At 38.8% G+C, this 18,066-nt stretch overlaps 2 non-coding genes across 2 annotated transcripts; one reads left to right on the top strand and one right to left on the bottom strand.

Moving 5' to 3' along the window:
* Positions 1-378: 378 nt before the first annotated feature.
* On the bottom strand, positions 379-489 carry MIR3910-1 (microRNA 3910-1). The gene has a single exon (NR_037472.1). It is a non-coding gene; the product is annotated as a microRNA 3910-1 (primary transcript).
* On the top strand, positions 395-476 carry MIR3910-2 (microRNA 3910-2). Its single transcript, NR_037489.1, has one exon. It is a non-coding gene; the product is annotated as a microRNA 3910-2 (primary transcript).
* Positions 490-18,066: the final 17,577 nt, after the last annotated feature.

The raw sequence follows: 18,066 nt of genomic DNA, 5'->3' as shown, positions 1-18,066 counted from the left end.
TAATAAAATTGGATAGGATGCTACTCCCACCAAAGAACAGAGGGCTCTGTTTTAAAGAAATTATGCTAAAACATAATTGGAAAATAATATGTATTCTAGTCTGGGAGTCTGTGTACCATGTCTTTCTCATTTTGACTCTTGGAGAGCCCAGTGTCAATGCCAGTTCCTTTTCTGCTTACCCAAAGAAAGCCCACCAGTCTATTTGCCCTGTCATGCCCTGCCCTGCCCAGAGCATCCAGCAAGAATTCCCATTCAGTGGTGAGACTGATGGAAAACAGACTAATGTTCTCAACAGCAGAGGAAACCACACCAGCCACCCTGGTCTTTTGATTTAACTAGAACTGAGCAACTGAAGACCAATTGGCACATAAGGAGAAACTTCTGTGATCAATCCTTTTTTTGTTGCTTGTCTTGGTTTTATGCCTTTTATGTGCCTTGATATAAAAGGCATAAAACCAAGACAAGCAACAGAAAAACTGACAGCAAAAGAAGAAGAGAATCCGAAGACATTAAAAATCCCCTTAATTGATGAATTAAAAGAGATTTTGGAAACATATCTAGATAACAAGAGCAAGATGTTACAAAAATGTGACAAAAAAACTGAGATCTTTAATAAAGAAAAATTAGGATTTAAAAAAAATTTCAATAGAAGGCCTGGAAAATCCAATGAGCTCCTTAGAGTCAGAGCAAAAAGAAGGAAAATATTAGAGAAGCAAAGGAAGTATAGAAAACCAATTCATCAGGCTTTTCAGAAAGAGTGAACAGAGAAAATTAAGAGAACAAAATTATATTTATTTATTTATTTTTTGTTGAGATGGAGTTTTGCTCCTGTCACCCAGGCTGGAGTGCAATGGCGTGATATTGGCTCACTGCAACCTCCGCCTCCTGGGTTCAAGGGATTCTCCTGTCTCAGCCTCCTGAGTAGCTGGGATCACAGGCACCTGCCACCATGCCCAGCTAATTTTTGTATTTTTAGTAGAGACAGGTTTTGCCATGTTGGCCAGGCTGGTCTCGAACTCCTGCCCTCAAGTGATCCACCTATCTCGACCTCCCAAAGTGTTGGGATTACAGGCATAAGCCGCTACTCCTGGCCCAAAATTATATTTCTTAAAAAATTAAAGGAAATTCCCAGGGCTGAATGATATGAATCCCCTATTGAAAGGGCATGCTGATTCCTGAGTGCAGTGAATGAGAAATGGCCCCAACTGATATACATGCTCATTAAATTTATGAGCACCAAAGGAAAAAAGAGGTTTCTGGAAACTCCCAGAGAGAAGTTAAAAAAAAAAAAAGAAAGACCCTTTTTAAAGGGATAAAGGCCAGATTGACATGAAACTCTTAAGACGAGGTAAAATATTCAATTTTTTTTTTTTTTTGAGACGGAGTCTTGCTCTGTTGCCCAGGCTGAAGTGCAATGGCGCAATCTTGGCTTACTGCAACCTCCGCTTCCTGGGTTCAAGCAATTCTCCTGCCTCAGCCTCCCAAGTAACTGGGATTACAGGTGCACACCGCCATGCCCGGCTAATTTTTTTGTATTTTAGTAGAGACGGGGTTTCACCGTGTTGCCTAGGCTGGTCTCAAACTCCTGAGCTCAGGCAGTCCACCCGCCTCGGCCTCCCAAAGTGCTAGGATTACAGGCATGTAATCTCTTTCTCCTCCTCCTCCTCCTCTTCCTCCCCCTCCTCTTCTTCCTCCCCCTCCTCTTCCTCCTCCTCCGCCTCTTCCTCCTCTGCCTCTTCCTTCTCCTCCTCCCCTCCTCTGCTACTTCTTCTTCTTCTCCTCTTTTTCTTCTTTTTCTCCTTCTTCTTCTTCTTCTTCTTCTTCTTCTTCTTCTTCTTCTTCTTCTTCTTCTTCTTCTTCTTCTTCTTCTCCTTCTCCTTCTCCTTCTTCTTCTTCTTTTCTTCTTCTTCTTCTCTCTCTCTCTCTCATTATTTCCCTACAGTTTCCACTCAAACAACTTTAGAGAGCACTTTTATTTCTCAAACCCAGGCTTTCATCTCATTTAACAGATTATCTGTTGAACATTTTACCAAATATCCTCTGGAATTAGTGACCAAATGATCAAGTAACATTAAAGAGTGTTGCTTTACTATTCTGTTGCCCAGAGTTTTCATTTGGGTAATATTTTTTTAGTGAGCTTGCCTGCCTTTAGAGAGTCTCATTCATCTTTTTCTAGTCTGACAACCTGTGGTAAATTTAGTCTTTAATATGTTTATGGGATGAAATAGACTGCATATTTAAGAGTTTCAAAATAAAAATAGCATAGAACCCTAAGGATATAGCTATAGCTATTAGGGAATAAAGAAGTATGGTATCTATCCTTGATAAACTCTGTCTCTGACTTCTTTGTGGAAAGTGTAATATATTTTGGGAGCATATGGCTCCATGCTAATGCTTATTAGCAAATGCCATAGCTTATATTGTTCTATGCCTTATAACCATTTCAAATGGCATTTGAAAGATACAATTTTAAAACAGCATTGGATGATATTCTTCAAGAGAAGGCACAATAAATTCACATAATAAAGCCACTCCTGCGGCTCTTATTGATGTGTGAGAGAGATTGGGGAAGGGAAGTCCTTGAGGGACTTCAGCCTTAGATAAGCCCTGTCATCAGATCTCATTCTAATAGAATGTAAGCACACTTATAACTGTTGACTTAAAAGGACTGAGTGGACCAGCAATGAACAAGAATGATGAGATTGGAAAACATAGAGCAGGATCACACTAGAATAGAAAAGAGCATCAGGAAAAAGTTGGAGAAAGATTCCTCTACCTCTATTTTTATTTTAAACTTTTGTGGAAGTGAGTGATTTACAGGGATTATTTGTTAGTACTTGAGAATGCCTGAGTGTTCTGGGATATGGTCTGACGCTCCTGGCCAGTTGAAATGAATGTGTCAACCTTAATGAAATCTCCATAGCAGTCTCTACTTGTTACAGTAACCTGTTCTGCCTATGTACACAGAGAGCAATTAGCCTGTATCAGACAGACACAAAAAGGTGGCGCAGCCCTGAGATGGAGAGGGTGTGCCAGGATAATGGCAAATGTAGGTGAAACCCTCAGACTAATTCTACAATAGGTCACTTGTTCCATCACTTTGTCCATTGGAAAGGAAGTGACTCTCAAGCTACATCTCATCAGGAAACCTGGAAGCTTCTTGACAAGAAGCCTTTGACTGACCTTCAGATGGTCATCTTGGCTTTTCACTATCCAGCACAGCAACCCCTTTCTACCTACTCTCATTGAAGCTCAGAATGGCTGCAATTTCTTGTTTGCCACACAGAAGCCTCAAGAGAGGTCCACTGACTCCCTGCATTCCAGATCTTCTCCTCCCATTCACACTTGTGGCAGCACCATCTTCTCATGACAGTCAGGGTCAATTAGTCCATCATGCAGTTAGTCTTTTCACCACGTGTGGGCTCACAGGTAAGAGCAGCCCAAAGTGCCCATGTGGCATTTGCAGCTGCAGGTGCAGCAGAATCCTTACTTGGCTCCTGGACAGAAGCACTGCCCAATGGGAACCAGGATTTCTAATACAGCAAACCTACGTTTACAGAAGTGGGAGGATTCTTTTTCTCTCCCCTCCCCTTTCTTCCCCTCCCCTCCCTTCCCCTCTCCCTTCCCTTCCCCTCCTCTTCCTTTCTGTTCCTTTCTTTTCCCTCCCTCCTCTTCCTTCCTTCCTTTCTTCCTTCCTTCCTTCCTTCCCTCCCTCCCTCTTCCTTCCCTTCTACTTTCCTTCTTTCTTTCCATTAGCCATAATAAGGTAGAATTTACCTGCAGTAAAAAGTACAGATCTTAAGTGTACAATTTGATGACTTGACAGCTATATATCTGTGTAAACACCACCTCTATCAAGATATAGAACATCACCCTCATCCCTAGAAAGTTCTCCTGGCCTCCTCTGCAGATTCAGGAAATAAAGATTTTCAAAGCAGTTCTTTTCCTCAAGTGGTTCACTACCTAAGTGCAGCAACAGGGCATATATGCTTTAGCCCCACTTTGCTGGCCCAAAGGTCCCACTGGATTCTGGTTTTTGAAATTTGATTAACAGAGTGTGCATTTCCTCTGCTACTCCAAATCAGATGCTCATAGCTAAAGACTATCTCTTGAAAGCATGATGGATGATGGCAAATTATTTTTAGTTTAATTAACAAAATGGACAAAGAAATCAGTAATCCCACAGCTGTGTGAAGCAGAGGCTAAGGAAATTGGCTAGCGCCCTTCATTCCTGCCCTACAAAGCCTGGGTTCTGGTCCTGGTGAGTGCTGAAGCCATTTCTGGGTGAAGAAGAATCTTCCACCCAACACGTTTCCTTCCTCTGCTTGCCCATCTTCCTTACCTGCTCTCAAAAGCAAGATCAGGCTACAGCATTTTGAAAGGCAGAGGAGACAAAGTTTCATCTCCTTTTCTTGAGATTGGCTCTTCATCCCCTACTCCTCACCTCCTGGCTTTCTTAATGGCCTTACTTCTTCTTTTTTTTTTTTTTTTTTTGGAGTCTCACTCTGTCACTCAGGCTGGGGTGCAGTGGCATGATCTCAGATCATTGCAACCTCCACTTCCTGGGTTCAAGCAATTTTCCTGCCTCAGCCACCCTAGTAGCTGGGATTACCGGCATGTACCACCATGACTGGCTAATTTTTGTATTTTTAGTAGAGACGGGGTTTTGCCATGTTGCCCAGGTTGGTCTCGAACTCCTTATCTCAGGTGATTTTCTGCCCACCTCAGCCTCCCAAAGTGCTGGGATTATAGGTGTGAGCCACTATGCCTGGCATCTAATGGCTTCACTTCTGACCCCCATTTCTCTCTCTCTCTCCCTCCTTTTCCCTTGCCAGACAAGGAATTGGCAAGCTGTACTTGGAGGAGCCTGGGGCCTGGACTGTTGGAGAAGGGTTTGTGCTGAAGGCAGGACCTTGAAAGAAAGAGAGAAAGGAAGATCCAAACTAAGGAAATGGCAGGAGGAAAAAGGCAGAGACAAAAATCTGAACATCAGACAGAGAGAGAGCCCAATGGTATACGTTTGGAGGGTCAGACAGAAACTTTTTACTTGCTGAGAGAGTTTGGGCAAGTTAGTTAATTTCTCTGATCACCAATTTTCACATTTGTAAAATGGGGAATAATTAATGCCTTTGAGGGTGGATGTGAGGATTTTTGCTGACATATGTGAAGTGTGTATGATGTGCATGGTGTTCATTAGATTATGTGAAATGACGGCTATTACTATAATGAGGCATGGTTAGAGCAACACAGAGACCAGCCTGGCTGAGAAAAAAGACGCATGTAGAATTGAAAGGCTCCAGTAGGAGCCAAGTCATGGAAAATTATTAACTAATGTAATTTCTTTAAAAATTATTCTCGACTTCTTAAAGCTTCTTAAAACTGGAAATACATGGAAGGTATATGGAACCTATCATCTCCATTTTGAGATGGTCAGATTTAAAAAAAGATAAGGCGCTAAATATTATTGCTATATTGTGTCTATGTAATGGGTCGGCATTCTTCGTTATTATGACGAAGGCAATGTAAGGAAGATGTGCTGAATGACTCTTGAGTCTAATGCAATATGACTTCCTGTTGTGATCAAAGGCTGTTTATCATGGTGGTGTTAGAGGGAAACTGACCCTAGGGGAGTGATGGGTGTGAAAGTAACTTCCCAAGGGCAACAAACTCAACAAACATTTACTCAATAAACATTAACAAGTACATGGTGAATGCTAAGCTCTCTGCCAGGCATTCTGCCATTATTCTACCTCCTCTGCAACCAAGATTTCTATCTAGAGATACAGATGGAAGATACCTGAGTTCATGACTGAATTTATTCCTATTTTAGTATCTTGTTTCTCCCTTCCTTTGGTATGAACTTTTCTTATACTAACTCTTTATTATATTAGAAATATCTCCCCCTAAGTTATGTTCTGCAATTTTGGCAGTTTTATTGATGTATAGGATTTTTGTTAAGTTTTAGTATACCTCTATTAAACCATCACCACAATTGACATAATCACCCAAAGGTTTTCTTTTGTCCCCTTGCAATCTTCTCCTGTTACCCCTTTCCAAGTTCTGAGCAAGTGCCATGAGGTAATGGGGGCTCCATTCTTTCACCCAGCCCCTACTTTTGGAATGGAGACTCTACCTTGGCATGGCATGCTGAGAAGGGTGGTGCCATAATCACCCTTGCTCCAGCTGACTGGAAGTTGTTCCACATCAGGAGATGTAAGGACCAAGAGGACCCCAGGCTTCTGCCCTGCCTCCACTGGGCATTCAGAACCTGAAATGAAAGTGTCCCTGGGAGAGAAGCTTGCCATTGTCCTAGCCCCCAGAGTCAAAGCTCTGGCTGGAAGGCAGAAGCAGGCCATAAAACAGACAGCTCCTAATCTCTTCCTAAAGGAACTTACTTCATTTGCAAAAGAGGATAAAAGAGTTCAAGCTCAAGGATTCTCTCAAGAACAGTGAAAATTGTGGTGAAAGATGATTGGGAGGCAGGTCAAGATCTAGGCTAAACTGTAGGCCTTCTAGTTTGCAGGAGAGAACTGGGGAAGAAGACATCTGGGAAGGGCCCTCATAGTGTCAGAACACATATCAAACAGTGACTTCAGAAACTGTTTCTTCAAAGGAGCCAGAATTTGATTGGGTTAGTTTGTAGAACAATTTATGCCTAAGGGAATTGTTAATAATGGATTAATCAGCTGGAAATTAGTGGGGTTTAACAACTGGGTGTGGTCAGAGGAAGACAGCCCTACCAAAACCACTGTCATTCCAGGTTTGTAAAGCTAAAGCTGAACCTCCCAGAGGAGCAACATCAGAAGTGGGTGTGTGTGGTGGCATAGACTTCATTAAAATAATACAGTCAATCACTAAACAAATAAACCAGGAAATTAGAATAAGCCTGGGGGTTGGGGGAGGGCACTAGTATTCAAAGTTGCTACAATATATTATACAAAATATCCCATATCCAATAAAAAATTACAAGGTGTTCAAATCCAAGACTGTGTGAGTCATATATTGAAACAAAAGCAGGCAGCAGAAATTACCCATGACAGTAATCAGATATTATATTTATCAGACAAAGACTTCAAGGTAGACATTATAAACATATTTACAAAACTAAATGAAACCATAATTAAAGGAGTAAAGGAAGGTATGATGACAATTTTGCATTAAATAGAAAATATCAGTAAAGATATAGGTATTATAAAAAAATAAAAATTTTGGAATTGAAAAGTACAATAACCAAAATAAAAAACTCACTGGACAGGTTCAGTAGTAGATTTGAGCTAGCATAGGAAAGAATAAGCAAGCTTAAAGACGGATTGATAAAAATTATGCCAGCCAAAAGAACAAAGAATAAAGAAAAATGAACAGAGCCTAAGAAAATTGTGGGACACCAGTAAATGCAGCAAGATAGGCATAATAGGACTACCTGAAAGTGAAAAGAGAGAGAAAGAACAGAACATATATTTAAGGAAATAATCCCTGAAGACTTTCCATATTTACTGAAAAACAATAACCCACACATCCAGGAAACTCAATGAACTCCAACAGGTTAAATCTACAAACAGTTCCACAGACACATCATAGTAAAAGTGCTGAAAGTCAAAGGCAAGAAGAAAATCTGGAAAGCAGTGAGAGAGAAATAACGGGTCACTTAGAAGGAAACCCCAGTAAGACTAACAGCTTACTTCTCAGCAGAAGCAACAGAGGTCAGAAGACAGTGGGATAACATATTCAAAGTTCTTAAAGGAAAAAAAATTGTCAAACAAGAATCTTATATTCAGAAATGCATCTTTCAGAAATCAGGGAAAATTGAAGACTCTTCAAGATAAACAAAAAGAATTTATTGCTAGCAGATTACACTTTACAAGAAATTCTAAAGCAAAATTTTTCAGATTGAAATCAAGTGCCTCAGGACTGTCATTCAAGCCCACGTGAGCAAACAAAGAACACTAGTAAAGGTAATTACGTAATTATAAAAAATAGCATAGGGAGCCGCTGTGGCTCAGGCCGGTTGCTCTGGCACTCGGGGAGGCGAGGTTGCATGTTCGAGGCCAACCTGGTCAACATTGATTTAAAAAAAAAAATAGCATAGATGCAAATTTTTGTCCTTTCATCTCTTAACTGATTTAAATAACAATGGTGTAAATAATATTTATATGATGTATTGTTGGGCCTGGACCATATAGAAATACAGCATATGCATCATATGCTTGCCAATAGCAGCACAAAGGAGGTGTTTGGGAGCAAAGTTGATTGAACTAAAAACATAACTACAGATGTATCGGGGGACCTGCCCCGATACTCACGTAGGTTCTTTTCTATTTTCCTAAGCGTCGACTGGCTTGAGAAATAAAAGGACAGAGTACAAAAGAGAGAAATTTTAAAGCTGGGCGTCCGGGGGAGACATCACACATTGGTAGGATCCGTGATGCCCTACAAGCCACAAAAACCAGCAAGTTTTTATTAGGGAGTTTCAAAAGGGGAGGGAGTGTGCGAATACGTGTGGGTGACAGACATCAAGTACTTAACAGGGTAATGGAATATCACAAGGTAAGTGGAGGCAGGGCGAGATCACAGGACCACAGGACCGAAGTGAAATTAAAATTGCTAATGAAGTTTTGGCACCATTGTCATTGATAATATCTTATCAGGAGACAGGATTTTGAGATCAACCGGTCTGACCAAAGTTTATTAGGCGGGAATTTCCTCTTCCTAATAAGCCTGGGAGCGCTGTGGGAGACTGGAGTTTATTTCACCTCTGCAATCTCGACCATAAGAGACAGGTATGCCCGGGGTGGGGGGGGCAGTTCAGAGACCTACCCCTAGGTGCGCATTCTCTTTCTCAGGGACGTTCCATGCTGAGAAAAGGAATTCAGCGATATTTCTCCCATTTGCTTTTGAGAGAAGAGAAATATGGCTCTGTTCTGCCCGGCTCACCGGCGGTCAGAGTTTAAGGTTATCTCTCTTATTCCCTGAACAATTGCTGTTATCCTGTTCTTTTTTCAGGGTGCCCACATTTCATATTGCTCAAACACACATGCTGTACAATTTGTGTAGTTAACGCAATTATTACAGGGTCCTGAGACGATATACATCCTTCTAGGCTGACAGGATTAAGAGATTAAAGTAAAGACAGGCATAGGAAATCACAAGGGTATTGACTGGGGAAGTGATAAGTGTCCATGAAATCTTTACAATTTATGTTTAGAGATTGCAGTAAAGACAGGCATAAGAAATTACAAAAGTATTAATTTGGGGAACTAATAAATGTCCATAAAATCTTCACAATCCACGTTCTTCTGTCATGGCTTCAGCCGGTTCCTCCGTTTGGGGTCCCTGACTTCCCGCAACACAGATGTTAAAGCACTAATTATAATAACTTATTGTTGGGCTTATAACATTAAGATAAATAATATGCATAGCCATAATAATACCACAAAAATAAGGAAAAGGAATAAAGCTGTATAGACTAACATTTCTCTGTATCACTGGAAATAAGCTGGTATCAATCTGAAGCTGATTTGTATATTTTGAGATGTATATAGCAATCCCTAGAGTAACCACTAAAAAGTCCCTCAAAATATAGTGAAAAATGCATTAAATAAATTAATATGCAGCATTAAAAATATTTGCCAAATTCAAATAAAGCAATAAACAAGAAATTGAATAAAAATAACATGACATATAAAAAATAAAAAATAAAATGGCAGACATAAATTCAACTATATCAATAATAAGTTTAAACATGACTAAACACACAAACAATCCACATCAAAGGTGGAGATTGTCAGATTGGGACTGAAAATTATCCAAGTATATGCTACCTAAAGGAGACACATTTTATTTATTTATTTATTTATTTATTTGAGATGGAGTCTTGCTCTGTTGCCCAGGCTGGAGTGCAATGGCACGATTTCTAAAGGAGACACATTTTAGATTCAAATATACAAATATGTTGAAAGTCAAAGATAAAAAAGATACATTATGCAAACAGAAACCCCAAGAAAGCTAGAGAATCTTATAGTTATATCAAAGTAGACTTTGTAACAAAAGAAGTTACTAGAGATAAAAAGGGATATTTTATAAAGATAAATGGGTCAACACATCAATAAGTTATAACAATTATGCCAACATAAGCACTAGTAACAGAGCACTAAAATACATGAAGCAAAACTGACAGAAATGAAAAAAAAAAAGACAAATCAAGAAAAGCAGCTGAAGACTTCAGTACCCTACTTTCAATACTGAAAAGAATAACTAGACAGATCAACAAGGAAATAGAAGACTTGAATGACACTATAAACCAACTAGAACTAACAGACACCTATAGAACTCCACCCAACAACACAGAATATATATTCCTCTCAGGGGCACATTGAATATTCTCCATAATAGACAATATACTAACCTGTAAAACAAACCTCAATAAATTTGAAAATATATAAAGAATACAAAGTATGGTTTCTGACTGCAGTAAAATGCAATTTGAAATAAATAACAGAAAAAAATTTGGAAACTCAAAAATAAATATAACATAAACAACACACTTCTAAATAGCCAATGGGTCAAACAATAAATCAAAAGGGAAATTGGAAAATACTAAGAGATGAATGAATATAAAGACATAACATACAAAAATGTATGAGATGCACCTAAAGTAGTGTTTAGAGAGAAATTTATAGCTATAAATGCCTATATTAAGAAAGAAGAAAGAGCTCAAATGAATTACCTAAACTTCCACCTAAGACACTGGGAAAAAAAGCAAAATAAATCCAAAGCAAAAAAAGAGAGGAAATAAAAAATATTACAGAGGAAATTAGTGAAAGCATAAATAAAAAAGCAATAGAGTTTGTTCTTTGGAAAAATCAACAGGTTTGATAAATCTTTAGCTAGATTGGCCAAGAAAAAAAAGGAGCAAAAACTTACTGAAACAAAAAAGGAGACATTATTACTAGTCTAACATAAACAAAAAGGATTATAAAGGAAAGCTATGAACAATTGTATACCAACAAATTAGATAACTTAGATAAAGTGAACAAATGGTTAGAAAAACACAAGCTACTAAAACTGACTAAAAAAGAAATGGCAATCTGAATAGAACTATAGCAAGGGAGGAGATTGAATTAATAATCATAAAAAAATCTATTCACAAAGGAAAATCCAGGCCCAGATGGCTTCACTGCTAACTCTACCAAACATTCAGTGAAGAATTAATACGATTTTCCCACAAACTCTTCCAAAAAATAGAAGAGTTGGGAAAAGTTCCAAACTCATTTTGTGAGCCCAAACATCTCAGGAAAACTATAAACCAGTATCTTTTATTAATACAAATGCAAAAATCCTCAACAAAATTGTAGTAAACCAAATCCAGCAACACATAAAAATAATTATACATCACACTAAGTGTGATTTATAAAGCAAGGTTGGCTTAACATCTGAAAATCAATTAACATAATACATTTTATCAATGGAATAAAAAACAAAACTCATATGCCCATCTCAATAGACACAGGGAAAGCATTTGATAAAATCCAACACCCATCCATGAGAAAAAAAAAACTCTCAACAAATTATGAATACAAATGAACTTCCTTAACTTGATAAAATGCATCAACAAAAAATCCACTGACAATATCATACTTAATAGTGAAAAACTTAATGCTTTTCTCCTAAGATCATGAAGATAAGTCTGTTCCAGCAACTTCTATTCAACGCTGTTCTGGAGAGTCTAGTCAGGGCAATTAGGCAAGGGAAAGAAGTAAAAGGCATCCCAACTGGGAAGGAAGATGTAAAACTATCTGTATTTGTAGATGACATGATCTTGTATCTAGAAAGTTCTAAGAAACCCACTAAAAAGTTATTACAACTAATAAATGAGGTAAGCAAGGTTGTGGGGTACAAGATCTATGTACAAAAATCAATTGTATTTCTATATTGTGGCAATGAACAATATGAAAATGAAATTAAGATAAGCATAAAATACATAAGATTAAATTTAACAAAAGTGTGTCTTAGCACTTTTTTGTTATATTTAATCTTAAGTATTTAAGATTAGCATCATTGACTGGGTGGTTTGGACAATAGACATATATTTCTCACAGTTATGGAGGCTGTGAAGTCCAAGATCAGGATGTCAGCATGTTCAGGTTCTGGTGAGGGCCTTCTTCCTAGTTTGCAGAAGGCTGTCTTCTTGCTGTATCTTCACATGGTCTTTCCTTGGAGTGTGTGCATGGAGAGAGAGAGAGAAAGTTCCAGTGTCTGTTTCTCTTTTTGTAAGAGCATATCCATCGTGGGGGCCTCACCCTCATGACCTCATGTAAATGTAATTAACTTTTTTTTTTTTTTTGAGACAGAGTCTTGCTCTGTCACCCAGGCTAGAGTGCAGTGTGTGATCTCAGCTCACTGCAACTTCTGCCTCCCAGGTTCAAGCAATTCTCCTGCCTCAGCCTTCTGAGTAGCTGGGATTACAGGTGGTGCCACCATGCCCAGCTAATTTTTGTATTTTCAGTAGAGATGGGTTTCACCATGTTGGCCAGGCTGATCTTGAACTCCTGACCTCGTGATCCTCCCGCCTTGGCCTCCCAAAGTGCTGGGATTATAGGCGTGAGCCACCGCACCTGGCCATAATTAACTTTCAAAGGCACTACCTTCAAATACCATCATGTTAGTGATTCGGACTTCAAACATATGAATTTGAGGGTAGTAGGGACACAAGCATTAAATCAATAATGAAGCATAAAACTTATACTCTACAAACTATAAAATATTGTTGAAAAAAATTAAGATGATCTAAATAATTAGAAAAACATCCTATGTTCATGGATTGGAATACTTAACATTGTTAATATGGCAATACTCTTCATACTGATCTATAAATTTAACACAATCCTTATCAGAATCCTAAGCAGATTTATTTGTAGAGGTTGACAAGTTGATTCTAAAATGCATGTGGATATGCAAAAAATCTGAAAGCAAAGCAAAACAAAGCAAAACAAAACAATCATGAAAAAGAACAAAGCAGGAGAACTTGTACTTCTCAACTTTAAAACTTACTACAAAGCAATAATAATCAAGACTGTGGTACTGGCATAAGTTACAAAACACTAACTCAAAATGAATAAAAAACTGAAATGTAAAAGCTAAAACTATAAAACTCTTAGAAGGAAACACAAGGATTGATCTTCATGACTTTTGATTTAACAAAGGATTCTTAGGTGCAATACCAAACATAAGCAACAAAAGAAAAAATATTAAAAAATTTTGTGCTTCAAAGTACATCAGCACAAAAGTAAAAAGATAGATAATATGATATATACATAATAATAGAAAATGTTTGCAAATTATATATCTAATTACTTATATCTAGAATACATAATGAGCTCTTACTACTCAATCATAAAGAGATAAACCAATTTTAAATGGGCAAAGGATCTGAGTAGGCATTTTTTCAAGGAAGGTATGCAAATAGATAATAAGAACATTAAAAGATGCTCACCATAATTAGTAATCAGGGAAACCAAACCAAACCAAACCAAAACCACAATGTGATATGACTTCATACCCACTAAGATGGCTAGAATAAAAAAATCAGATAGCAGGGATGTGGAGAAACTGAGCCTTCATAAACTGCTGATAGGAATGTAAGATGATGCTGTTTTGGAAAACAGTCTGGCAATTCTTTACATAATAACTCTATTAAGCATAGTTTTCATATGGTAAATAGTTGTGTCATATGGTAACCAGCAATTCTATTCCTAGGTATAAACCCAGGAGAAAAAATGGCATATATCCATATAAAAATTCATACACTAATGTTTATAGCAGCATTGTTCACAATAAGCCAAAGATGGAAACAATGCAAATGTACATAAACTGATGATTGGGTAAACAAAATGTATTAAATCCATACAATGAAATGTTATTCAGCCAGAAAAAGGAATGATGTATGTTACAACATAGATGAACCTTGAAAACATTATACTAAGTGAAAGAAGTCAGTCACAAAAGATCACATATTATATGATTCCATTCATATAAAATGTCCAGAACAAGAAAATTGACTGAGACAGACAGTAGATTAATGGTTACTTAGGGGTTTGGGGTGGCGGATGGGAGGGTGGGTTGATTGCTAAGGGAGACAGGGTTTTGTTTTCAGATGATAAAAATGTTCTATGGTGATGGTTGTGTGTATCTGTGAATATACTAAATATTGTTGAATTGTACACTTTAAATAGGTGAATTGTATGGTTTTTGAAATGCGGCTTAATAAAGTTGTTAAAAATTCAAATATCCAGTTGTTCGCTGGTAATAACTTTCTTTCCCTTTCTTTCCCTTTCTTTCTTTCTTCCTTCCTTCCTTCCTTCCTCTTTTTCTTTCTTTCCTTTCTCTCTCTCTTTCTTTCTCTCTTTCTTTCTCTCTTTCTTTCTCTCTCTCTTTCTCTCTCTCTTTCTCTCTCTCTTTCTCTCTCTCTTTCTCTCTCTCTTTCTTTCTCTCTTTCTTTCTCTCTTTCTTTCTTTCTTTCTTTCTCTTTTTTTTGAGATGAAGTCTCACTCTGTTGCCCAAGCTGGAGTGCAGTGACATGATCTTGACTCACTGCAACCTCCGCCTCCAGGGTTCAAGCAATTCTCCTGCCTCAGTCTCCTGAGTAGCTGGGACTACAGGTGTGTGCCACCATGCCTGGCTAATTTTTGTATTTTTAGCAGAGACAGGGTTTCCCTATGTTGGCCAGGCTGGTCTTGAATTCCTGACCTCATGATCCACCCACCTCAGCCTCCCAAAGTGCTGGGATTACAGGCGTAAGGCACTGCGCCCAGCCTCTTTTTTAAAATTTCTTTTGTTCCTTATAACACTGGCTCAAATCTGAGAGCTCAAATCTCCAGTAAAAGTTGAATGGGATTGGTGGAGCAAACATTTAATCTTGTTTCTTATGTTTGGGGAAAAAGAATCAATCATTCATCATTAAGTATGTGTAAGCTGCAGGCTTTTCAGAGATTCCCTGTAACAGGTTGACGAAATTTACCTCTATTCTTAGTTTTCTGTGAGTTTTTATCAGGAATAGTTGTCGGATATTTTCAAATGCCTTTTCTGTATCTATTGAGATCATCATATGTTTTTATTTCTTCTTTTAGTGTGTTAATATGGTGAATTTTACATTGAATTTTGAATGTTAAATATTTCCTGTTATGCAGGCCTGCTTGTGATAAATTCTTTCGGATTTTCTGTGTCTGAAAGCATCTTCATATTTGAAAGATATTTTTAGTGAGTATAGAGTTCTAGATAAACTAAAGGATTTATTCTTTCACTACTTTAAAGCTGTCCTCATGCTTGCGTAGCTTCTCATGAGACACTGGCTTATCTTTGTTTGTTTATTGTGTGTCTTTTGTTCTCCACTGGCTTCTGAGATTTTCTGTCTGTCACCGGTCTTGAGCATTTTAATTATGACATACTTCTGTATGGTTTTTCTTTATGTTTCTTTTGCTTGGGCTTTCATGACTTTTTAAATCTGTGGGTTTACAGTTCATACCAAATTTGGAAAATTTTAATTTTTTTCAAAGATATATTTGTGATCCCTATTCTCTCTTCTTAGTAAAATCCACTTACACTCATATTAGTCCACAATTACAATAAGAATATCAAAGATCACTGATCTTTATAACAGATATAAAAATAATGAAAAGGTTTGAAGTATTGCAAGAATTATCAAACTGTGACACAGAGATACGAAGTAAACAGGTGGAGTTGGAAAAATAGCACTGATATACTTACTGGACATGGGGTTGCCACAGACCTTCAGTTTACAACATGCAGTATCTGTGAAGCACAATAAAATGAGGTATGCCTGTATTTTGTCTGTTTTCTAGGGTGATTTCAGTCTGGAGGGTAAATCTGGTTCCTTTTCCTCCTTCTTCACTGGAAACATTTCAGATAGTAATGATGAGACTCTGTGCAGAGTTGGGTGGCTTGAGTTAAGGCAATCAACAAGAAATGCTCTCAGAGATTCACCCCAATCTGAACCTGAAGGAATAAGGAGGAGGGAGAAGTTCCTGGAATCTGGCAGCACGTAACTGCAGAAGAGGACACTTAAGAAGAGCTGGGACTGCCGGGAAAATAGCCGCTGCCAGAACCTTGGTGCAGAAAAGTGTTAGCATAGAAGACCTGGCCGCTGTCCTTTGAAAGGCCAGCTTACAAGGGTGGCCCTTTGCTGGAGTCTGTGAACTTAAGATTTCTGGAGGGTTCCTACTACCTTTACTGATAAGAGTGGCTACACTGTGACTGAATGGTACAAATAATATGGTTTAACTAACACTTGCTTTCCTTCTCGGAGTTTGGATTTTTTTTTTGAGACATTGTCTCTCTCTGTTGCCCAGGTTAGAGTGTAGTGACATGATCTAAGCTCACTGCAACCTCCACCTCCTGGGTTCAAGCAATTCTTGTGCCTCAGCCTCCCGAGTAGCTGGGATTACAGGCACGTGCCACCACACCTGGCTAGATTTTGTATTTTTAGTGGAGACAGGGATTCACCAGTTGGCCAGGCTGGTCTCAAACTCCTGACTTCAAGCAACTTGCCCGCCTCTGCCTCCCAAAGTGCTGGGATTACAGGCATGAGCTGCCATGCCCAGCCTGGGAGTTTGAAATTTTGATATAGAAAAATAGGGTGTCACATGACCAGCCCCCAGTAAAAATCCTGGGCACTGAGTTTCTACTGTGTTTCCCGGGGTTGCAACATTTTACAAGTGTTGCCACAGTTCCTTGTTGAGGGAATTAAACACATCTTGTGTGACTCTACCAGGACAGGACATGGATTGTGCCTGGTTTCCTCCAAACGTTTTCCTTTTCTGATTTTGGTTTGTATCTTTTCATTGGAATAAATTATAATCACAAACAAGACTATACACTGAGTCCTGTGAGTCGTCCTAGCAAATCATCAAGCCTGGGGGTTTTGGGGATTCCTGACACAGTTGGAGAGGTGAGGAATGAGAAGGAAAAATAAATAATCCAACTTCTCCCTCCTGTAGCTACTTTGCTGCTAGTGCACAGGATTCACCTGGAAGCTAGAAGGCAATGGAGCATGGATGGTGCAAAACAGAGGTGAACCTCCCAGGCCTGGGCAGGGCAGAAAAGCGGGGAAAGTGGACTTAGGGGTTGGGAGTCAAATGCCGAACAGTCGGCGCAGATGCAGAGCATGTGCCTGCTGCGTCCCCTGCTCACCAGCAAAGCCCTGGAGCCCATGGCCTCTAATGCCAAAGTGTACAGGGCAAAAATAATTTTAATTTAAACTTTAAAAGTTCAAAAGACAATTTAACCCATCTGACAAGGGATGAATAACCAGAATATACAAGGAGCTCAAATAACCCTATAGGAAAAAAAATCTAATAATCCAATCAAAAGATGGGCAAAAGATCTGAATAGACATCTCTCAAAAGACATACAAATGGCAAACAGGCATATAAAAAAGGTGCTCGACATTGCTGATCATTAGAGAAATGCAAATCAGGCTGGGCGCGGAGGCTCACACCTGTAATCCCAGCACTTTGGGAGGCTGAAGCGGGTGGATCGCTTGAGGTCAGGAGTTCAAGACCAGCCTGGGCAACATGGCAAAACCTCATCTCTACTTAAAATACAAAAATTAGCCAGGCGTGGTGGCATGTGCCTGTAATCCCAGCTACTTGAGAGGCTGAGGCAGGAGAATCTCTTGAACCTAGGAGGCGGAGGTTGCAGTTAGCCAAGATGGCGCCACTGCACTCCAGCCTGGGCAACTGAGTGAGACCTTGTCTCAAACAAACAAACAAAAACAAATAAACAAAGAAATGCAAATCAAAACTACAATGAAATATCATCTCACCCCAGTTTAAATGGCTTTTATCCAAAAGATAGGCAATAACAAATGCTGGTGGGAATATGGAGTAAAGGGAACACTTGTACACTGTTGGAGGAATGTCAATTAGTACAACCACCACGGAGAACAGTTTGGAGGTTCCTCAGAAAACGAAACATTGAGCTACAATATGATTCAGCAATCTCACCCACTAGGTATATACCCCCAAGAAAGGAAATCAGTATATTGAAGAGATA

Source organism: Homo sapiens, chromosome 9 (assembly GCF_000001405.40).
Source record: "Homo sapiens chromosome 9, GRCh38.p14 Primary Assembly".
In the NCBI taxonomy this organism is placed as follows: Eukaryota; Metazoa; Chordata; class Mammalia; order Primates; family Hominidae; genus Homo; species Homo sapiens.
This window is presented reverse-complemented; position numbering and strand designations above follow the sequence as displayed.